Consider the following 23513-nt stretch of genomic DNA (forward strand, 5'->3'; position numbering starts at 1 on the left):
ACCTCCTTTTGTTGTCTTGCACATCATAGTAGACACTATGTATGTTACTAAGAAAATTCAAGACCAGATGCAGTGGTTCACACCTGTAATCCCAGAACTTTAGGAGGCCAAGGCAGGTGGATCGTTTGAGTCTAGGAGCTCAAGACCAGTCTGGGCAACATAGTAAGACCATGTCTTAATAAATAATTAAAAAGAAAGAAAATTCCAGGCAAAACAGATGTGATGTTTAAGAGATTCACTATTTTAAAAGCAATACAAGTACGCTTGAAACAAAAAGGATCAGTGGGTCAGTATTACTCAATCTCTTAAAAACTACACCCACTCCTGGTCGGACGTGGTGACTCATGCCTGTAATCCCAGAACTTTGGGAGACCAAGGTGGGCGGATCACCTGAGGTCGGGAGTTCAAGACCAGCCTGATCAACATGGAGAAACCCCGTCTCTACTAAAAATACAAAAAATTGGCTGGGTGTGGTGGCACATGCCTGTAATCCCAGCTACTGGGGAGGCTGAGGCAGGAGAATTGCTTGAACCCAGGAGGCAGATGTTACGGTGAGCCGAGATCACGCCATTGCACTCCAGCCTGGGCAACAAGGGTGAAACTCCAGCTCAAAAAACAAAACAAAACAAAACAAAAAAAACCATGCCCACTTCTAAATCTTGAGTCAAGATTTAGGCAAGGTCTCATTTGCAGAGTTTGTACTGTGCAAATAACAGGTATTTTTTCAAGTTGCACAATATTCCTGCTCCTCCTCAGGTCAACATGTCCCTTGATAGTCTTCAACTTTATTTTCTGCCACTCTACCCATTGCTCACTGTCTTTCAGCCACCTTGGTTTTCATCAGTTTCTAAATATGTCAAACTCTCTTTTGCTTCAGGGTCTTTGACTGGAATCTTCTTTCATTCACTCTTTCCCTGGCAAATTCCTACTCATTCTTCAGGTGTCAGCCTCCATGTTACTTTCTCAGACTGTCTTTCTCTGACTTCTCCCATCTAGATTATATCCCTTTGATAGTCTCTTTAGTAGACCCTTTGTTCTTTTTCTTCATAACACTTAACACAATTTATATTTACAGTTTTTAATGCCATAGTCTGTTGTCAAATTTTCCACGAGGACAATAATCATGTTTTCTGTTCACCATTATATGTGTAGCACTGAGCACAGGGCCTGACAGAAAAGACCCTTATTGAGTAAATGAATGAATGAATGGCTTCCTGTGAGTGAACATGGAATGTGAGAGATTTCTTCCTCTTTAAATACCACTGCTGATAAAGTACTAAGGCAGAATAATTGATAAAGTAGATCATGGGCCAAATTCTGCCTTTAGATATCAAAAGGAATCTTTAGAGAGGAAAGATCACCCTAGTTTAAAAGGATTCATGTAGGAGATGGGAATTGGAACTGATTTCTGATGAGGAGGCATGGCATTTCAACTCTGGAAAGAGCATAAGGTACAGATATAGGCATTAGAATCTTAATAACAACAATTAACTGACATTTATTTACTTTTGGTATTTTGTTTTGTTCTTGTTTTTGAGACAGAGTCTAACTCTGTTGCCCAGGCTGGAGTGCAATGGTGTGATCTCAGCTCACTGCAACCTCCGACTCCCAGGCTCAAGTAATTCTCATGCCTCAGCCTCCCAAGTTGCTGGGATTACAGGTGTGCATCACCACACCTGGTTTTTGTATTTTTAGTAGAGACGGGGTTTCGTCATGTTGGCCAGGCTGGTCTTGAAATCCTGGCTTCCAGTGATCCACCCACCTCAGCCTCCCAAAGTGCCGGGATTACAGGCGTGAGCCACCACGCCCAGCTTGATATTTATGGAACTCAAATGTACTAAGTGTCTATATTCATTATCTGATTTGAGACACTGTAATTTAGGAGAGGCAGTAGCACAGGAATTGAAAGTTCAGTCTTCGGATTCCAATCACAGCAGAGTAAGCTTGGGCAATTATTTAACATCTCTGTGCCTCTGTGGGCTTAGTCCCTTGCATGATTGCCTTCTGGAAATCCATAGGAAAGGCTTTTCCTGGACTTCCATCGGCTTTTGGGATCCTAGAATTCTTTTTTCCTTCCTTGACAGGAAATATGTACAGGAAGAACAAGGTCCTCTCTGCCTTGTGTTTGTCAGTATTTCTTGTGACTATTTTCTCCTAAACATAAGGTTTTTCTGAGTTCAAGGATTTTGGGGCTGATCAAAGAAGAGATGTGACCACAAGGTGGCAGTAGCATGCAACAAGCTTTATTTGGGTGGTGCTTGACAGACTGCATGTAAGGAGGACATCCCTCACAGCTGGACACCTTCCAGAGGCAGAGGTGTATGGCCACCATGCAGAAGGGGAAGAAGGCAAGGGAACTACTCCTGGGGTAGGGGAGAAGCAGAAATGGGGTTTATCTGTCTAGGATGTTGTACAGCTACAAGATAAGATAGGGAGTCTCTGAGTTAGAGAACTTGGAAGGGCAGCAGAGGTTTGGGGTCTTTTATAGCTCTATGCTTTGTCTTATCTTTGGTTAACAGATGCCAGGTACGGTTTTATCTTTGGCTAGCAGGCAGACTCTAAATGGCTAAAAACATGGCCATCTGAGCTATGTGTGTGTGTGTGTGTGTGTGTGTGTGTGTGTATGTATATATATATATATATATATATATATATATATATATATATATACTTTTTTTTTTCTTTGAGATGGAGTGTTGCTCTGTATCCCAGGCTGGAGTGCAATGTCTCACTGCAACCTCCACCTCCTGGGTTGAAGAGATTCTCCTGCCTCAGCCTCCCAAGTAGCTGGGACTACAGGCATGCACCACCATGCCCGGATAATTTTTGTAATTTTTAGTAGAGATGGGGTTTCACCATGTTGGCCAGGCTGGTCTCAAACTCCTGACCTCAGGCAATCTGCCTGCCTTGGCCTCCCAAAGTGCCGTGATTACAGGCGTAAGCCACTGCACCCGGCCCATCGGAGCTACATTTGAGCAATTACATGGATAAAATTTTGAGCTTAGATAAGGTAAGTTTTGAGCTAATGGTCCCAGACTGACGTGAAGAAGCAAACAATATGCGCCCAATATACTCAGGCCGTCTTTAACACCTTTATTTTCCTAACTTTTAATTCATTGATTTTTGAAACTGGAGTTGCTGAAATTCTAATTTACATTAAATTATTAAGGTTTACTAATTAAGCCTTTAAATAATATTTCTGTAAATTTTTAAAACCTGACTTTTGATACAGATGCCAACATTTTAAAGCTGTCTTGGATTTTAAGAGTCTCAATATTATCTATAAAAATCTTTTTAGCAATTACCTTGGCTGAGTGCTCATATACAAAATAAACTGATTAAATCAAGGGAGCTATTGGATCCTCTCTAGTTCCAAAACCCTAATGAAGGGTTTTATGAAAATTAAAACCCAAAGTCTTACCACAGAAATATAAAGTGACTTTTTTTTTTTAAACAGATGAAAACATAATGCTTGGGATGCCTGCAAGTGACTAAAAGTTGGAAAGGGAAGTTCTGATGTGACCCAAATTTGTAAGTTCTTAATGTCCTATTTGAATTTTTTAAAAAATTCAAAAATTCAGGAATATATGCATGTCATTTGTGTACATACTGACAAAGACTATCTCTTTGACCAAACTTCTGAGCCTCTTCTGAGCCCTCTTCTTGACTAGGCCTTGACTTTGGGCCCTACCCCACCTGTAATTGTCGGCCTACCTCAGTCTTAATAAGAATCCTGTCAGTTTAGTGAGGATCCCGCCACTCTGGGTATCTGATCAAGTTCCTCATTCTCCACTTCTGAAGTATAAGCCCTTAGCCTGCCTTCAGCAAGAATCCTACCACCCCTGATGTCTCCTTTTAGTACTTTTCTATCCACTGACCCTCCTTACTCTACCTGTTGGTTATAAATACCCCAGCTGTCCTTGCTGTATTCCCAGTTGAGCCCAATCTTGCTTCCCTATTACAATGTTTTGATTGCACAGTCCTGAATAAAGTCTTCCTTACCATTTTAACAAACGTCAGAATTTTTTTTTCTTTAACAATACCTCACAACCAATCCTAACATTCTTTTATACTCACCTAACTTAAAAAATAAATAAAACATTACATATACAATTGATGCATAGGAAAAGTTTTTCAATCCCATTCATAATATAGCAATAAAAAATGGTAACTGAACTGAAATACTATTTATTATTTAACAGGTTGGCAACAATCCAAATGTCTGACAACTTACTCCACGGATGAAGCTGTGGGAAAAACAGGCACTCACATACATTGCTGATTGGATTGCAAAATGCCAACATACTCATGGATGGGTATGTGGCCATATTAGGCAAATTTATGTATGGATTTACCATTTGAACTAACTTCTGGGAATATATCCTAAAATAAGATGTGTTCCCATGATTATTCATTACAGCACTATTTGTAATAGCAAAAGGCTGGAAACCACCCAGATGTCCATCCATAGGGAAGTAGCTGAATATATTATGGTACTAATTTTATCTATGGCTGGGGAGCTTATTCAGGCTGGCTCCTTAGTCTTTGACACGGCCCTAACAGTTTTTGGCTGCTTTCTGAATTACATTGTTCAAGTTGAATATATTATGGCACATCTACACAATGGAGTACTATATAGAAATGAGGAATAGCTCTATATGTTAGTATTATACAATCTCTAGAATTTATTATAAAGTGAAAAAAGGTGGAGAAAATGTGCTACTACTGTTTATCTAAGAAAAGGGTAGGTATAAACATGCATAATTACATTTTTAAAATGAAAAAATGAATCATAAAAAGTGTTTAAGTCATTACTTATAGGGCAGGAAGGAAAAAGTAGAGGGGAGACCAAGGATTTTCAAAATAAAGGGAGTTACAGATGTGTAATCAAAGAGGTTAAATAAAACCTTGACTTCCTGAATTTGAATCGGAAGTATCAATGAGTTCATAATATATTTGATTTAAAAGACAAAAACCAAATCAAAACAAACCCATACTAACCAGCTCTGTCCATTGAACAGGTATAGAAACAATCAAACTCATTAACAACACGACAAACATTTTTTGTTTGTTTCTTTGTTGTTCCTTGCAGCGCCAGCTTAAAGGAGACATCCAGATTATGCTCTTTAAATATCATTTCCCACTAAAGGATCCAGGGCACTTAGGAGTAATGGCTTATTATGGGTATGGAGTAAGAAATACACAAAATGAGCCTGGAAAGCAAAGACTACTAGGAAAGTATCAGAAAGACTCAGGAGCCAACCTGAGTAAACTCTCACCGGCCTAAAATAAACAACTTGAGCACTAATAGTGGTAATAGCTACAGTGGATTACAACTCACCAAACTTCTTTAAATCCCTGGATTCATAATGATGGCTGTTTACTTTTGAGGGTTTTTAAAAAAAATCCGGCAGAGATTTTTAAATAGTATATGGTAGTGATCTAATTTTATTTTCCATTAGAATAACCATTCATTCAGCATTACTTATTGAGTAATTAATCATTTTCTCATTAATACATAATGCCAGTATATCAAATTCCCAAATACATAGATATGGGTCTCTTCTTGGGGCTCTGTATCTCCTTCCTTTAATTGTCCATCTTAGGGCGTTTAATAATACAAGACTGTCTCAATTACTATGGCTTTATTGTAACTCATTACCTGGTAGGACAAGACCTTCCAATCTTACTTTTCTTCTTCAAAATTGTTTTAAATACTGTAAATTTTTTTTCTACATAAATGTGAAAAACGTTAGAAGGGCAACTGCAGCAGACATACATAGCTTATTTTTTTAAGATTAACAGCAACTTTATACTAGCAAAATGAAAAAAAATTAACTGAATAAACAGGTAACTGAATTAACTAGCTGTAACACTAGACTACAAAGTTATACAAGATTAAAAGTTATGAGGTACTATTTATTATATGTAAATATTACAAATATTTTTTGTTAAAAATATCTAAGGCTTTTGAGTTTTTGAAATGCAAGCTTTCCCCTATACTTAAGTATATTCATTATCTTACTGCTTTGGTCAGGACAAGAACTGAAAAAGAGAAATAATCTTGAGTTCAGAATGAACAATTCTTGCTATATATATTTTCCCACATGTGTTAGGAATGTTCTGTAAACCTTCCGAGAAATAGTGACTTGAACTAAATACTAAACTACTACCAAGCCCCAGGTGCATTTTTGGAAGTTTTTAGTCATTGGGAGCCATGGCATTTCTTTTCTCTGTATTACAAACTGTTACACTCACTTTCTTTGACTATTAACATTGGAACAGTAGACCTCCTGTTCTGTGACTGACTGGCAGGCAGAAATGACACAGACAGGAAATGGGAAATGGTTCAGGGTCTTGGAATTCCCCCGGCTCCCTAATTAAGTGGCTTGCTATTTGGAAGTTTTTTAAATATTTGCCCCTTGGAGTTCCCCAGAGAGAAGCAAGCATCGGATTCAACGGGCAAAGAGCGTCAACTTCAAAAGTCGTTCGTTGGTTGTCATACCACAAACATTTACTGCACGACACTGTGTCTATGGCACTATTGGGGGAGTATGGCGGGGGGATACAAAAGGTCCATGACTAGCAAAAGCCAAGGGTTTTTATTTACAAATTTTCTATTACCTAAGCATTAAAAAAAATTGGGCTCCTCTCTGGTTTATGTACAATTATATGTGCATGTACACCAATACACAGGCAGACGTATATATTTCATTTTATTGAAACATTCAGAAAATACTGGGAGTGAAGCCTGACTTGCAATACAGTTCTCTTTGCTGGCAATGAGCATCTGAAATAATGACACTTTTTTCTTTAGTGCATATGAACTGTTTGTCTCCAGAACAGAAAACCAAAAGTTTAAAAACAAGATACTCCCGTTGACATCAAGTCTTCAGAATTATTCATCTGATGCTTCCTAGTTTCCAAAGTTTCGCTTTTTTCGATTTGCACAGGCAGCTGTTGAACGCTGATGCTACACAAACGGTTACAATTGTTTACTTAAGCAAAAAATGCCACCAGACTGACTCCATCCTCAAAATGCAGTCATCTGGACGGGGGGAGGCATCACACTTGGGGAGCCTTGCCAGGGGCCAGATCATAACCCTGAGGTGACACAGGGTAGGACGCGCAAAACCACCGGCGCCAGGGCGTTTCCGCAGGGTTTCCCAAAACTCAAACGCAGCGGCTCACGGTTTGCCACGTCCCCCAGGAGAATGGTAGACACAGAGAGGAAATGTGGAGAGGGCACAAACCGCAAGGTGAAGAAAACGAACAAACACCGAGTTGATACGGATAGTCCCCGTTCCCCTGAGGGCCGACCCCGTGACTCCCGATGAGCGTCCAGTTGCGCCGGGCATCCTGGCCTCCCAGCGTCTTTCCCGGAGGTTCATCGCCGCACGGCGGAAAGCGCTCTCGGTTCCGCTTTCCGGCCCCAGCCTCCCGGGCGCCCTCGCGCGGCGGCTAACGCTGGTCCTCGGCCGGGCGCGCTGACGTCATCGTGCGTCAGAGTGAGCCCGGATGGGGCGGCGGGCTTCGGGAGCGCCCGGGCTGATCCGAGCCGAGCGGGCCGTATCTCCTTGTCGGCGCCGCTGATTCCCGGCTCTGCGGAGGCCTCTAGGCAGCCGCGCAGCTTCCGTGTTTGCTGCGCCCGCACTGCGGTGAGTGCTGCTCCTTCCGGGCTCGGGCGGCGTGGGGCGGGTGGGGACGCGAGGGCCCGCGGGGGCCCACTTCCCTGATGTGGCGGCGAACGAGGAAGGACGGGGCCTGAGGCCCTTCGGCCAAGGGTCGAGGGTCGCCGGGGGCTCTCTGCTTTCTACTCTCGCCAAGGTTTTATTGGATTCGGAAGCCCCAACTTCGAGACTTGCAGTCAAAGCGATTTTTAAAATGACTTGTTTTCAAGCCTCTGGCCGCCGCCCACTCTTCTGGCCCTTGGACTTTGACCAAGATGTTTTCTCGCAGTTTTTGCAAGGTTTTAAACTTAGCCCTCGGCGTTCTTTTAATGTAATACATTGAAACGAAGATATTTCGGTGGCGGCGATATTTCATATTTCATAGTTGCCACTGCGCTCTGTCATTCCAGTAGTCGTCTGTTGTGTATTGTGAGAAGCAACTCTGGGAAATTATTGGGTAAATCCCATAGTTTCTATTCTTTTCCCTTCCATCCTATCCCCTGCCCAGCTGCAATTTGCGTAAAGAGAATGCAGCAGTGCGGTGCACGTAGATAAAAATCTTTCATTTAAAGATAGGATATAAGACCGGGTGTAATTAAAGCAATCATGCCAGTGGTCGTAGTGCCGGAGCCACTGTTTCACAGGCCACTGTGTTAGGTTTTGTTTTCGAGTTGCTTTCTGTGGTCGTTGCTTTGAAATTGTAAGGGAATGGCAGAGTTTAAGAGTTTATATTAATGAACTCGTGGTGCATTTTACTGCAGTTTTCCTAGTCGTGGAGAGACTTGATATTACAAACTAACGTTGCTGTCTTAATTCCTGCTGTACTGCTGCTGACAGGGTGTAGTGGAGTGTCTGTCTGTCTTTTTAACCAATGTGCCTTTGCCTCCAGCAGAGTGCCAGAGTTACCTTTAGGCCAGAAAAGGGGAGGAGAGCAAGGACAAAATGTTTCCTGTGTGAAAATTTCCATCTGTCTCTGAAGTTGTGCGTTTTAAAGACACGTATAGTTAGTGCTATGGGGAGTATGTTGCATTTACTTATTTTAATTAATAGCTTTTTCATTTAGAAAGTTGTGACAAATTGCTGGAATTAAGATGTATTATCTAAAGTGTGAATTATTCTTAGACTTTACTGAATAAATTGAAGAGTATGTAAGTTCTATTTGGCATGCACATACAGTTTTCTAAAATACTTTTTGTTTTTTCTTTTCAGATTTACAACCCTGAAGAATCTCCCTATCCCTATTTTGTCCCCCTGCAGTAATAAATCCCATTATGGAGATCTCGAAACTTTATAAAGGGATATAGTTTGAATTCTATGGAGTGTAATTTTGTGTATGAATTATATTTTTAAAACATTGAAGAGTTTTCAGAAAGAAGGCTAGTAGAGTTGATTACTGATACTTTATGCTAAGCAGTACTTTTTTGGTAGTACAATATTTTGTTAGGCGTTTCTGATAACACTAGAAAGGACAAGTTTTATCTTGTGATAAATTGATTAATGTTTACAACATGACTGATAATTATAGCTGAATAGTCCTTAAATGATGAACAGGTTATTTAGTTTTTAAATGCAGTGTAAAAAGTGTGCTGTGGAAATTTTATGGCTAACTAAGTTTATGGAGAAAATACCTTCAGTTGATCAAGAATAATAGTGGTATACAAAGTTAGGAAGAAAGTCAACATGATGCTGCAGGAAATGGAAACAAATACAAATGATATTTAACAAAGATAGAGTTTACAGTTTTTGAACTTTAAGCCAAATTCATTTGACATCAAGCACTATAGCAGGCACAGGTTCAACAAAGCTTGTGGGTATTGACTTCCCCCAAAAGTTGTCAGCTGAAGTAATTTAGCCCACTTAAGTAAATACTATGATGATAAGCTGTGTGAACTTAGCTTTTAAATAGTGTGACCATATGAAGGTTTTAATTACTTTTGTTTATTGGAATAAAATGAGATTTTTTGGGTTGTCATGTTAAAGTGCTTATAGGGAAAGAAGCCTGCATATAATTTTTTACCTTGTGGCATAATCAGTAATTGGTCTGTTATTCAGGCTTCATAGCTTGTAACCAAATATAAATAAAAGGCATAATTTAGGTATTCTATAGTTGCTTAGAATTTTGTTAATATAAATCTCTGTGAAAAATCAAGGAGTTTTAATATTTTCAGAAGTGCATCCACCTTTCAGGGCTTTAAGTTAGTATTACTCAAGATTATGAACAAATAGCACTTAGGTTACCTGAAAGAGTTACTACAACCCCAAAGAGTTGTGTTCTAAGTAGTATCTTGGTAATTCAGAGAGATACTCATCCTACCTGAATATAAACTGAGATAAATCCAGTAAAGAAAGTGTAGTAAATTCTACATAAGAGTCTATCATTGATTTCTTTTTGTGGTAAAAATCTTAGTTCATGTGAAGAAATTTCATGTGAATGTTTTAGCTATCAAACAGTACTGTCACCTACTCATGCACAAAACTGCCTCCCAAAGACTTTTCCCAGGTCCCTCGTATCAAAACATTAAGAGTATAATGGAAGATAGCACGATCTTGTCAGATTGGACAAACAGCAACAAACAAAAAATGAAGTATGACTTTTCCTGTGAACTCTACAGAATGTCTACATATTCAACTTTCCCCGCCGGGGTGCCTGTCTCAGAAAGGAGTCTTGCTCGTGCTGGTTTTTATTATACTGGTGTGAATGACAAGGTCAAATGCTTCTGTTGTGGCCTGATGCTGGATAACTGGAAACTAGGAGACAGTCCTATTCAAAAGCATAAACAGCTATATCCTAGCTGTAGCTTTATTCAGAATCTGGTTTCAGCTAGTCTGGGATCCACCTCTAAGAATACGTCTCCAATGAGAAACAGTTTTGCACATTCATTATCTCCCACCTTGGAACATAGTAGCTTGTTCAGTGGTTCTTACTCCAGCCTTTCTCCAAACCCTCTTAATTCTAGAGCAGTTGAAGACATCTCTTCATCGAGGACTAACCCCTACAGTTATGCAATGAGTACTGAAGAAGCCAGATTTCTTACCTACCATATGTGGCCATTAACTTTTTTGTCACCATCAGAATTGGCAAGAGCTGGTTTTTATTATATAGGACCTGGAGATAGGGTAGCCTGCTTTGCCTGTGGTGGGAAGCTCAGTAACTGGGAACCAAAGGATGATGCTATGTCAGAACACCGGAGGCATTTTCCCAACTGTCCATTTTTGGAAAATTCTCTAGAAACTCTGAGGTTTAGCATTTCAAATCTGAGCATGCAGACACATGCAGCTCGAATGAGAACATTTATGTACTGGCCATCTAGTGTTCCAGTTCAGCCTGAGCAGCTTGCAAGTGCTGGTTTTTATTATGTGGGTAAGAAGCAAATAACTATACATTTTATCATTTTATTTTAATTTACATATTAGAACATACGTGTTTTCAATATTTAGTCTTTTTTTTCCTGAAGGTCGCAATGATGATGTCAAATGCTTTTGTTGTGATGGTGGCTTGAGGTGTTGGGAATCTGGAGATGATCCATGGGTAGAACATGCCAAGTGGTTTCCAAGGTAATTGTTTTGAAAAAGGTATTTGTACAAAAAACTCTGTGCTTAAAAGAAGTAGGCATGCCTACATGATTTTGTTTACCTTTAAATTATAACAAAGCCTCTTTTATGCCATTGGGGAATTATCCTTCTAAAAGATCACATTTTAACTTTAATTATTTTGTTGAAAAATATTCTGCAGTCTTCTGTGTACTTTTGTAAGTCAGTTACAAGTATGACCGTACATTTTATTTATTTCCCATTTCTTTTAAAGAGTACTTAAGGATTACAAAGACATATAAAATAGATTAAAAAGACGTTAGAAAAAGGTAAGAACAGGAAAACAAGAAGGGACATAGAATGGATGCAGGAATAAGTCAAATGTAAAAGTCCATGTATTAAGAGCATATCTTAGATGGGCGTGGTGGCTCACACCTGTAATCCCAGCACTTTGGGAGGCCGAGATAGGTGGATCACCTGAGGTCAGGAGTTTGAGACCAGCCTGACCAACATGGTGAAACCCCGTATGTACTAAAAATACAAAAACTAGCTGGGCGTGGTGGCGCGTGGCCGTAGTCCCAGCTTCTCGGGAGGCTGAGACAGGAGAATCGCTTGAGCTCAGGAGGCGGAGGCTGCAGTGAGCCAGGATTGTGCCACTGAACTCCAGCCTGGGTAACAGAGCAAGACTCTGTCTCAAAAAAAAAAAAAAAAAAAAAAAGAAAAAAGCATATCTGACTGCCCATTTTAATTGTAATTGTAAATTATTTTTTCTGTACAATTTTTTTTTGTCATTTACCTCCTTTTAGCCACTTTGTCTCTAGCAGTGTCTTTTTTTATTATAGCCTAGAAATAATTTAGGGGCAGTGTTATTAGTAGAAATAGAATTAAATTGTCTTTGTAATTGAGTAGCTATGTGAACTTGGACGTTGTTTGTAAAATGAGGAGGGGTTGGCCTAGATAATTTTTTAAAATAGTGATAAAATAGGCATAACATTTACCATCTTAACCATTTTTTAAGTGTATAGTTGTGTGTCATTAAGTACATTCTTAACCGTTCTGCGATTATACCGCTATCCATCTCCAGAACCTTTGCATCTTCCCAAACTGAAACTGTCTACCCATCAAGTACTAATTCACCATTATCCCATTCCCCAACATCCTGGCAACCACCATTGTCTTTCTCTTTTTTTTTTTTTTTGTTTTGTTTTTTTTGAGACGGAGTCTCACTCTGTCACCCAGGCTGGAGAGCAGTGGCGCGATCTCGGCTCACTGTAAGCTCCACCTCCCGGGTTCACGCCATTCTCCTGCCTCAGCCTCCCGAGTAGCTGGGACTACAGGCGCCCGCTGCCACGCCCGGCTAATTTTTTGTACTTTTTAGTAGAGATGGGATTTCACCATGTTAGACAGGATGGTCTCGATCTCCTGACCTCGTGATCCACCCACCTCAGCCTCCCAAAGTGCTGGGATTACAGGCGTGAGCCACCGCGTCCAGCCCTTGTTTGTTTTTTTGAGGTGGAGTCTCACTCTGTCATCCAGGCTGGAGTGCAGTGACACGATCTTGGCTCACTGCAACCTCCACCTCCCAGGTTCAAGCGATTCTCCTGCCTCAGCCTCCTGAGTAGCTGGGATTATAGGTGCCTGCCACCATGCCTGGTTAATTTTTTTGTATTTTTAGTAGAGACAGGGTTTTTAGTAGAGACAGGGTTTCACCATGTTGGCCAGGCTGGTCTTGAACTCCTGAGCTCAAGTGATCTGCTCACCTTTGCCTCCGAAAGTGCTGGGATTACAGGCATGAGCCACTGCCCCCTGCCGCACCATTCTATTTCTGTCTCTATGAATTTGACTACTCTAGGCATCATATATAAGTGGAATCATACATCACAGATTATGTTTTTACCTGTGAGTGTCTTTCACAATAATGAAGAATCTCTTGAACCCCTTCAGGAAATTTAAAAAGTTTTCGTCATTTTGTATGATATATGATGAAAAAGAAACTTGAAGTAACAAATACTTTATTATGGATCAGTACATTGTTAAAAGTTGTATTTTAAAGTTATTAATATTAATAATATATCAAGATAAATTTTGACTTTTTTACACTGAAAAATGACTAAATTATTAATTATGTTTAAAATTAAAAAGCATGTTTTATCAGACTTTTAAATGACTTAATTATGTTGGGCTCTATGGGATTATATACATTAATTTGAAATTTAATCCATGTTGTGGTATCAAAGACAAAAACAGCTTCCAAATTCCAGTGTTGGAACTGCTACATTTTGTACCTTATAAAACAAAATCAAAATCTTTATTTTTGTAACTTGTGTTTTGTTTTAAATGATTAAGGGAGAAGATGTAGGGGCGTGTTTTGTAAATGCTTCTCTGAAAACAACACATTTCTTTTTTCCTTTTTTTTATTTTTTTGAGACAGTGTCTCATTCCATCACCTATCACTGCTGGAGTGCAGTGGCAAGATGGCAGTTCACTGCAACCTCCACCTCCTGGGTTCAAGCCTCAGCCCCCCGAGTAGCTGGAATTATAGGCACACGCCACCACACTCAGTAGTTTTTGTATTTTTAGTAGAGACGCAGTTTCGCTATGTTGGCCAGTCTAGTCTCAAACTTCTGACCTCAAGTGATCTGCCTGCCTTGGCCTCCCAAAGTGCTGGGCTTACAGGCATGAGCCACTGAGCCCAGCCCACATTTCAACTGGGAATAATCTTTAATCTCAGTAAATCCATCACCTTATGTAGTAACTTTCTTTTTTTTTTTTTTTTTTTTTTTTGGTGAGAACTCTTAAAAGATGCTCTTTCGCAAATTTCAGGTATAAGGTCCAGTATTATTAGCTATAGTCACCATGTGCTGTACATTAGATCCTCAGAAAGTTTGTGTTCTTTAACCAACATCTTCCCATTTCACCTACCCCCTTATCCCTGGCAACCAGCATTCTACTCTCTGTTTCTGTGAGTTTGGTTACCATACAGTATAGTTGTCCCTTGGTATGCTCGGAGGACTGGTTCTAGGACCCCCATGTATACCAAAATTCGCACATACTGAAGTCCAGAAGTTGACTCTGCAGAACCTGTGCATCCAAAATTCAGCCCTCCAAATATGTGGGTTTCACATCTGCAAATGTGATCTGCATTTGGTTGAGAAAAATCTGGGTGTAAATGGACATGTGCAGTTCAAACCTGTGTTGTTCAAGGGCCAGTTGTATTTGTCTTTCTCTGGCATATTTCACTTGGCATAATGCCTTCCAGGTTCATTCATGTTGCAGATGGTAGGATTTTATTTTATTTTATTTATTTTGAGATGGAGTCTCACTCTGTTGTCCAGGTTGGAGTGCAGTGGCACCATCTAGGCTCACTGCAATCTCCACCTCCTGGCTTCAAGCGATTCTCCTGCCTCAGCCTCTTGAGTAGCTGACATTATAGGCACCTGCCATCATGTCCGGCTAATTACTCTGTTTTTGTAGAGACGGGGTTTCACCATGTTGGCCAGGCTGGTCTCAGACTCCTGATCTCAAGTGATCCACCCGGAGTGGATGGGATTATAGGCGTGAACCACCACGCCCAGCCAGGCTCATCCCCCATTCATCCCTTAGTAGACACTTAAGTTGTTTCCATATAGCTGCTTGAACATGGGAGTAGAGATATCTCTGAGATACTGATTTCATTTCCTTCAGATATGTACACAGAAGTGGGATTGCTAGATCATATGCTAATTCTATTTTTAGTTTTTTGAGCAACCTCTATACTGTTTTCCATAATGACAGTAGTAAATTACCAACAATGGTCAAGGGTTCCCTTTTCTTCACATCTTTGCCAACTTTTGTTATTTCTTGTCTCCGATGATAATAAGGCATCATTACAGGTGGGAGGTGATATTTCATTTTGGTTTTAATTTGCATTTCCCTGATGATCAGTGACATTGAACACCTTTTCATGTACCTGTTGGCCATTTGTATATCTTTGGGAAAATTTCTGTTCAGGTCCTTTGCCCGTTTTCTAACCTGAATTATTTGGGTTTTTTTTTTTTTTTTTTTTTGCTATTGAGTTGTATAAGTTCCTTAAATATTTTAGATATTAACTCCTTATCAAATGTATAATTTGCAAATATTTTCTCCCATTCTGTAGGTTGCCTTTTTATTTTGTCGATTGTTTCCTTTGCTGAGCAGAAGCTTTTTAGCTTGTTGTAGTCGCAGTTTATTTTTGTTTTGGTTGCCTGTGCTTTTGGTGTCATACCCAAAACATTATTGCCAAGACCAGTGCCAAGGAGCTTTTTAGCCTACGTTTTCTTTAAGGAATTTTATGGTTTCTGGATTTATGTTTAGTCTTTAATCCATTTCTAGTTAATTTTTGTAGGTGGTATAAGATAGAGGTCTGGTTTTATTGTTTTACATAAAAACGGTGTTGGATATCCAGTTTTCCCAACACCGTTTGTTAAAGAGACTTATCATTTCAACATTGTGTGTTCTTTGTGCCCTTGTCAAAGATTAATTGATTGTATATGTGGCTTTATTTCTGGGCTCTCTGTTCTGTTGGTGTATGTCTTTGTTTTTATGCTAGTATCATATTGTTTTGATTACTGTAGCTTTGTAATATAGCTTGAAATTAGGAAGTATGATGCCTCCAGTTGTTTTTTTTGTTTGTTTTTTCTCAAGATTGCTTAGGCTATTCTGGGCCTTAAGTTCCGTACAAATTTTATGATTGGTTTTTCTATTTCTGTGATAAAAAAGTCATTGGAATTTTGGTAGGGATTATATTGAATCTGTAGAATGTTATGGGTAGTATGAACATTTTAACAATATTCTTATAATTTAAGAACACGAGATTGTTTAAAAATTTATTTCTGTCATTTTCAGTTTCCTTTATCAGTGTCATATGTTTTTCATTGTGTTTCTCTTTTACCTCCTTGGTTAAATTTATTCCTAAGTATTTTATTGTTTTGGTGCTGTTGTACATGGGATTACTTTCTTAAGTTCTCTTTCAGATAGTTCATTGTTAGTACTGACTTTTGTAAGTTGGTTTTGTATCCTACAACTTCTGGATGGTTTATTAGTTTTAACTGTTTTTGGTGGCATCTTTAGGGTTTTCTATATATATAAGATTATGTCATCTGCAAACAGAGAGTTTGACTTCTTCCAGTCTGATTTGGATGCCTTTTTCTTTTTCTTGCTTAATTGCTCTGGCTAACCCTTCCAGTATTATATTGAATAGACGTGGCAAGAGTAAGCACCCTTGTCTCGTTCCTCATGTTAGTGGAAAAGCTGAAAGCTTTTTTTTTTTTTTTTTTGAGATGGAATTTTGCTCTGTTGCCCAGGCTAGAATGCAGTGGCGCAATCTGAGCTCACTGCAACCTCCACCTCCTGGGTTCAAGTGATTCTCCTGCCCCAGCCTCCCGAGTAGCTGGGATTACAGGTGCGTGCCACTGCACCCAGCTCATTTTTGTAATTTCTTAGTAGAGATGGCGTTTCACCATGTTGGCCAGGCTGGTCTCCAACTCCTGACCTCGTGATCCACCTGCCTCAGCCTCCCAAATTGCTGGGATTAGAGGCGTGAGCCACTGCACCCGGCCAGCTTTCAGGTTTTCATTATCGAGTATGATGTTAACTGTGCACTTGCCATTTATGGTCCTTATGTTGAGGTATATTCCTTCTATAGCTAAATTGGTGAGAATTTTTATCCTGAAAGGGTGTTGAATTTTGTCAAATGCTTTTTCTGTGTCTGTTGAGATGTTTATATTATTATTATTATTATTAATTTTTTTTTTTTTTTTGAGATGGAGTGTTGCTCTGTCACCCAGGCTGGAGTGCAGTGATGCAATCTCAGTTCACTGCAACCTCTGCCTCCTGGGTTCAAGTGATTCTCCTGCCTCAGCCTCCCGAGTAGGTGGGACCACAGGTGCATGCCACCACACCCAGCTAATTTTTGTATTTTTAGTAGAGATGGGGTTTCACCAGGCTGGTCTCAAACTCCTGACCTCAGGTGATCCACCCATCTTGGCCTCCCAAACTGCTGGGATTACAGGCGTGAGCCACTGCACCTGGCTGGTTATATGATTTTTATCCTTCATTTTGTCAATGTGTGGTATCACATTTATTGATTTGCATATGTCATACCATCCTTGCATCTCAGGGATAAATCTCACTTGATATATGATTCTTCTAGTAGGCTGCTGAATTCGGTTTGCTAGTATTTGTTGAGGATTTTTGCATCTGTGCTCATCAGGGCTATTGGCATATAATTTTCTTTTCTTGTGTTGTCCTGGTCTGGCTTTGGTATCAGAGTAATGCTTGGCTTCATAAAATGAGTTTGGAAGTATTCCCCCCTCCTCCCTCCTTACTCCCTCTTCCCTCCCTCTTCTTCCTTCTTCCTCCTCCTCCCTTTTCTTTCTTCTTCCTCCTTCTTTCCTCCTCCTCCTCCTCTTCCTTCTTCTCCTCCTCTTCCTTTCTTCTTCTTTCTTCTTCTTGATAGAACTGTGCTATGAGGTCATCTGTTCCTGGGCTTTTTCTTTGTCAGAAGAGTTATGACTACTGATTCAATCTCCTTACTAGTTATAAGTCTTTTCAGATCTTCTATTTCTTCTTTATTTTAGTCTTGATAAATTACAAGTTTCTAGGAATGCATCCATTTCTTCTAGGTTATACAGTTTTTTGGTGAATAATTGTTCATGGTAGTCTCTTATGGTCATTTGCGTTTCTGTGTTATCAATGGTAACATCTCTTGGTTTTGATTTTATTTATTTTCGTCTTCCTTTTTACTAGTCAAACTAAAGCTTTGTTGATTTTACTTATCTTTTCAAAATCCAGCTCTTAGTTTTAGTGGTCTTTTCTATTGTTTTTGTAGTCTCTATTTCATGAGATTTTGTTATTTCCTTCTGCTAACTTTTTCTAGTTCCTTTAGATGTAAAATTACGGTGTTTATTTAAGATTTTTTTTAAATATAGGCGATTATTGCTATAAACTTTCCTTTTAGAACTGCATTTGTTCTATACATTTTGCTATGTCGCATTTCAATTTTAATATTTCTTGTGATTTTTTAAAATTTTCTTTTTGATTTCTTCTTTGACCCATTGATTATTCAGGAGTATTTTGTTCAATTTCCACATAGTTGTCAGCTTTCCAACTTTCATTCTGTTATTGATTTCTGGTTACATACCATTGTGGTCTGAAAAGATACTTGATAGGATTTCAGTCTTCCTCAGTTTGTTGAGTCTTGTTTTGTGACCTGCTGCATGATCTACGCTGGATAATTTTTCTTGTGTGCTTAAGAAGAATGTGTATTATCTGCTGTTTGATGGAATGTTCTGTATAAAGGTTGAGTATCCCCAATCCAAAAATCCAAAATCCAAAATGTTCCAAAATTTAAAACTTTTTGAGTACCAACATGATGCTGAAAGGAAATGCTCTTTGGAACATTTTTGGTTTTGCATTTTTGGATTAGGGATGCTCAGCTGGTAAACATAAGGCAGGTATTCCCAAATCTAAAAAATGTAAAATTCAAAACACTTCTAGTCCCAAGCATTTCAGATAAGGAATATTCAACCTGTATGTTAGATCCATTAGATCCAGTGTATAGTTGAAGTCCAATATTTCCTTACTGATTTTCTGTCTGGATGACCCATCCATTATTGAAAGTAGGATTTTTGAAGTCTTCTAGTATTATTGTGTTACTATCTATTAATGTCTTCAGATCTGTTAATATTTTCTCTGTTTATTTAGGTGGTCTGATGTTGGGTACATATATATATTTACAGATACTGTATCCTCTTGTGGAATTGGCCCCTTTCTCATTATATAATTACTTTCTCTGACTCTTTTTACAGTTTTTGATGTAAAGTCTGCCCTATCTGATAAAACTTTAGCTTCCTCTGCTCTCTTTTGGTTTCCATTTGCATGGAATATCTTTTTTCCTATACCCATGCATGTGCTTAAAGGTGAATTGAGTCTCTTGTAGACAACCTGTAGCTGAATCTTGTTTTCTTTATCCATTCAGCTGCTCTTTATCTTTTGATAGGAGAATTTGGCCCATTTACATTCAAGGTAACTATTGATGGGTAAAGACTTCTGTCATTTTGTAATTGTTTTCTGATTGTTTGGCAGATTATTTGTTTCTTCCTCTCTTGCTGTCTTCCCTTGTGTTTAGATGATTTTCTGTGGTGGTATGCTTTGATTCCTTTATATCTTTTGTGCATCTACTATTGGTTTCTACTTTGTGGCTATCATGAGGTTTACATAGAACATCTTATAGTTATAGTAGTCTGTTTCAAGCACTAACAACTTAATTTCAATTGCATTAAAAAACTGTACTGTTACTCAGACCCTCCTGCACATATTTTATGTTTTTGATGTCATTATTTGCATTTTATATTGTGTATTCATGAAAAAATTATTGAAGCTATAGTTATTTTTAATACTTTTTTTTAAAAACCTGTATTTTAGAATTAAGTAATTTACACATGACCATTACAAATTTAGTATATTATTAATTTGATTATATATTTATCTTAACAGTGAGTTTCATACTTTCATATGTTTCCATGTTGCTAATTAGTGTCCTTTCATTTCAGCTTGGAGAACTCTTCAGCGTTTCTTGTAAGGCGCGTCCAGTGGTGATAAACTCCCTCAGCTTTTGTTTGTCTGGGACTGTTTATATCTCTTTCATTTCTGAAGGACAGCTTTGCTGGGATACATATTCTTGTCTGGTAGTTTTGTCTTTCAGCACTTTGAATATATCATCCAACTCTCTCCTGGCCTACAAGGTTTTTGCAGAGAAATCCACTTGTGGTCTTATAGGGTTTCTCTTGTAGAAGATGAGTTTCTTTTCTGTTACAGTTTTAAAATTCTCTTTCATCTTCTATTTTTGCCAGTTCATTATAATGTGTGTCAGTGAAGTCTTCTTTGGGTTGAATCTTTATGGGGTCCTATGAACTTCCTGTACCTGGATATCTTTCCCTAGATTTATGAAGTTTTCAGCATTTTTTTTTTAAATCAGCTTTCTGTCCTTTCTCTCTTTTCCTTCTTGAATTCTCGGGTTTGTTTTTCATTTTCTTGGGTTTTTTTTTTTGATGGTGTCTTGTTCTGTCACCCAGGCTGGAGTGCAGTGGCATGATCTCAGCTCACTGCAACCTCCACCTCCCAGGTTCAAGTGATTCTCCTGCCTCAGCCTCCCACGTAGCTGGGACTACAGGTGTGCACCACCATGCCCAGCTAATTTTTGTATTTTTAGTAGAGACGGGGTTTTGCCATGTTGGCCAGGCTGGTCTTGAACCCCTGACTTCATGTGATCCACCCGCCTCAACCTCCCAAAGTGCTGGATTACAGGTGTGAGCCATCGTGCCTGGCCTTGAATTCTTAAAATGCAAATATTGTTTTGCTTGATGGTGTCCTATAATTCAGGTAGGCTTTCTCCACTATTCTTTTTTTTTTCTTTTTTTCTCCTCTGACTAGATAATTTCACATGATCTGCCTTTGAGTTCACAGGTTCTTCTGCTTGATCAGGTCTGCTATTGATGCTCTCTATTGCATTTTTTGTTGTTATGTTCTTCAGCTCCCGAATTTGTTTCTTTTTATTATTCCTATCTCTGTGTTGAATTTCTCATTTGTTTGTATATATTTTTTTATTTCATTATCTGTGTTCTTTTGTAGCTCACTGAGTTTGCTTGAAACAATTATTTTGAATTCTTTATCTGTTAGTTCATAGATCTCCATTTCTTTGTGGGTGATTACTGGAAAATTACTGAGTTTCTTTGCTAATGTCACGTTTCTTTTTTTTTTTTTCTTTCTGTTTCTTGTGGCCTTGTGTTATCTGTGTATTTGATGGACGAATTACTTCTAGACATTACAGATTAGTGTGTTTTTTTTGTTTTTTTTTTTGTGGGCAAAGATCTTTGCCTGTGGGTGAGGGTGAGGGTGAGGGCGCCAGCCAGTAGGTGTGGTGGTTCTGGCTCTGTGGAAGGCCCAGCATTGTGAACTCCATGCAGCTCCATTAGCCCAGATCATTGTCAGTGAGGATTGCAGGGGTCCTCAACATCCAAGGCTGCAGGTATCCATACCAGCAGCAAGGCTTTTTTTAGTCTATAGTGGCAGAGGCTGCTGGGGACCTCTTCATCACTTTTTCTCCCATGGGAGACATTGTGGCCAAGGGGATTCTTCTTGGCACAGGTTCTGGCTTTGGGCTTGTTGTGTTGGTGGAGGTGGCAGCACTGATGTCTCTGATGGCGTGGACACCTGTGGAGCAGCTACAGAGCCAAGGTTTGGAGTGCAAGTGTTTGCAGAAAGACAGCGGGTCTTGGGTTCAGGATGTTGACTAGCCTGCAGCAGTGGTGCTTCTAGTGCCTCAGATGTGGGTGCACGTAGAGCAGCCTTTGAGTTGGGTGCGGAGTGCAGGTGTGCAGAGCAGCCAGAGAGCTGGGATCTGGAGAGTGTGTGATTAGAGCAGCCACAGAGCAAAGGTCTTACATGAAGGTACATGTGAAGCAGCTGTGGCTCTGGGGTCTGGGGCATATGTGGGGGTTAGGGGCTGCACTGTCTGGGCAGTGCAAGAGCTGCTTTTTTTCAGGGTGAGGAGTGCAGTAGTGTCTCCCTCTCCAGGGGGTTCACAGCAGCAATGGGTGCTGGTTACCTTAATGGTGAAAGCTGTCAGTGTCCTCTGCAAAGTAGGCTACTGGGGTTGGCATCAATGAACACTATAGGGTCCTTCACTGTGAAACCTGCAGGAAGTCTGTGGCTATCTTGAGGGTTATTGGAGGTCTCCAGGGACCTGCTCTGGGGAGGAGCCTAGCAGTCTTTGCCACTGAGGACTGTAATGGCACTCACCACATGACTGATACAGGTAGCCCTCACCCCTTGTTCTTAGCCATCTCCAGATGTCTCTGCTAAGCAGATCTCCCAGCAGTCCTTTCTGTGTGGTTATTCTCCCTTTTTTTTTTTTTTCCCTTTATTGCTGTAGGCTGATTGGGCTAGTGAGTTCTTCCAGAGCTGTATTTGTGTATAGCTGTCTGTTTGTTGTTTTTTGTGGGTGGAAGAAGGCTGATGTCTCCTAGTCTGCTGTCTTGCTGATGTCACTCTTGCAAACTTTCAGTCTGCGGCTTTTCATTTCTTTAACATTGTCTTTTGAAGAGCAGATGTTTTCAATTTTGATGATGTCAATTTATCAATTTTATCTTTTGTGGAATATGTTTTTGGTCTTTTGTCTAATAATTCTTTACCCAATGTAAAGACAAATAAAGACAAGGCTTTTTCCTAGAAGTTTTATTGTTTTTGGTTTTATATTTAGGTATATGATCCATTTTTACTATTTTTGCATATAATATGGGCATAGGTCAGTGTTCCTTTTTTTTAACATATGAATATTCTGTTGTATAGTATCATTTATTGAAGAAACAAAAGGAATAGAATAGATATAGATGGTATGTGAACTTCTTGGAACATCTTTGAGAAGCCCTATCAGTTTAAAAACAAATATTTGAGAAACACTGTCATATTATATATAGATAAAAATATTTGATTCCATATTTTTTGGAGGGAAGGTAGTGGATTCTGGCTCAAATGTAATGGAAGAGTGAACATTGAAGAAAAATGAGCAGTTATTGTATTGTGAAAGATCACATTTTAGGAATACTGAGTTAATAGTATCTGAAACTGTTAAGTAGTTCACTTTAAGCACAAAATAGATTGTGTATAATAGTGTTCTTCAGGAGTCAACTTGTTCCCCTTTGTAGGTGCAGACGCTTTTCTTTTTGTTGTTGTGTTAATGGATTGAATTAGAAAATACCGTGATATATAACACACAGAAGGATGTATATTGTTTTATGATAATTTTGTTCCTGTTAGATATGTATGTGTTCTGGGTTGTGACGTAAAATGTTTTTACTATGGAGTACAATGAAAGATTTGAAAGCCATTTTTCTAGAATGATCAGGTTATATTTGATATGAAACAATTTTAAAAAATAATTTTCCTCATATGTTTTAGGTGTGAGTTCTTGATACGAATGAAAGGCCAAGAGTTTGTTGATGAGATTCAAGGTAGATATCCTCATCTTCTTGAACAGGTAAATACATTTTTAAAATTAACAACATTGAATTCTGCTTTATAATAACAAAAATATTATTAGGTTGGTATAAAAGTGATCATGATTTTTGCCATTGAAAGTCATGGCCAAAACCGTGATCACTTTTGTACCAACCTATATTAGAAGTTATGCTTATTTCTCTTTTATTAATTGTAGGTACATACTTTCATCCATGTTAATGACATCTTTGGTTTTTACTTTTGTAACCAACTTGATTTTTGAGGGCTTTTTAAAAA

At 39.0% G+C, this 23513-nt stretch overlaps 1 protein-coding gene across 3 annotated transcripts in view, besides 2 other annotated features; it reads left to right on the forward strand.

Annotated features, from left to right (window-relative positions):
• BIRC2 (baculoviral IAP repeat containing 2) overlaps nt 7496–23513 on the forward strand; it is a 31457-nt gene continuing 15439 nt past the window's right edge. Inside the window, exons 1-4 of one of the 3 annotated variants that reach the window (NM_001166.5) lie at nt 7496–7658; nt 8880–11031; nt 11126–11225; nt 23178–23256. In NM_001166.5, coding sequence (NP_001157.1) covers nt 10137–11031; nt 11126–11225; nt 23178–23256 — 1074 coding nt within the window. In that variant the 5' untranslated portion in view covers nt 7496–7658; nt 8880–10136. Of the gene's footprint in view, nt 8128–8879; nt 11032–11125; nt 11226–23177; nt 23257–23513 lie in introns of all 3 variants that reach the window. The other 2 variants (NM_001256166.2, NM_001256163.1) reach the window with 2 other exon arrangements.
• Nucleotides 8048–8117: an enhancer, noted in NCBI's record as "active region_5440". NCBI's record gives its function as "activates an Ori minimal core promoter by ATAC-STARR-seq in GM12878 lymphoblastoid cells {active_cell/tissue: GM12878}" and the evidence as "EXISTENCE:reporter gene assay evidence [ECO:0000049][PMID:35858748]".
• Nucleotides 21733–21782: an enhancer, noted in NCBI's record as "active region_5441". NCBI's record gives its function as "activates an Ori minimal core promoter by ATAC-STARR-seq in GM12878 lymphoblastoid cells {active_cell/tissue: GM12878}" and the evidence as "EXISTENCE:reporter gene assay evidence [ECO:0000049][PMID:35858748]".

The sequence above is a fragment of the Homo sapiens genome, chromosome 11 (assembly GCF_000001405.40).
Source record: "Homo sapiens chromosome 11, GRCh38.p14 Primary Assembly".
In the NCBI taxonomy this organism is placed as follows: domain Eukaryota; kingdom Metazoa; phylum Chordata; class Mammalia; order Primates; family Hominidae; genus Homo; species Homo sapiens.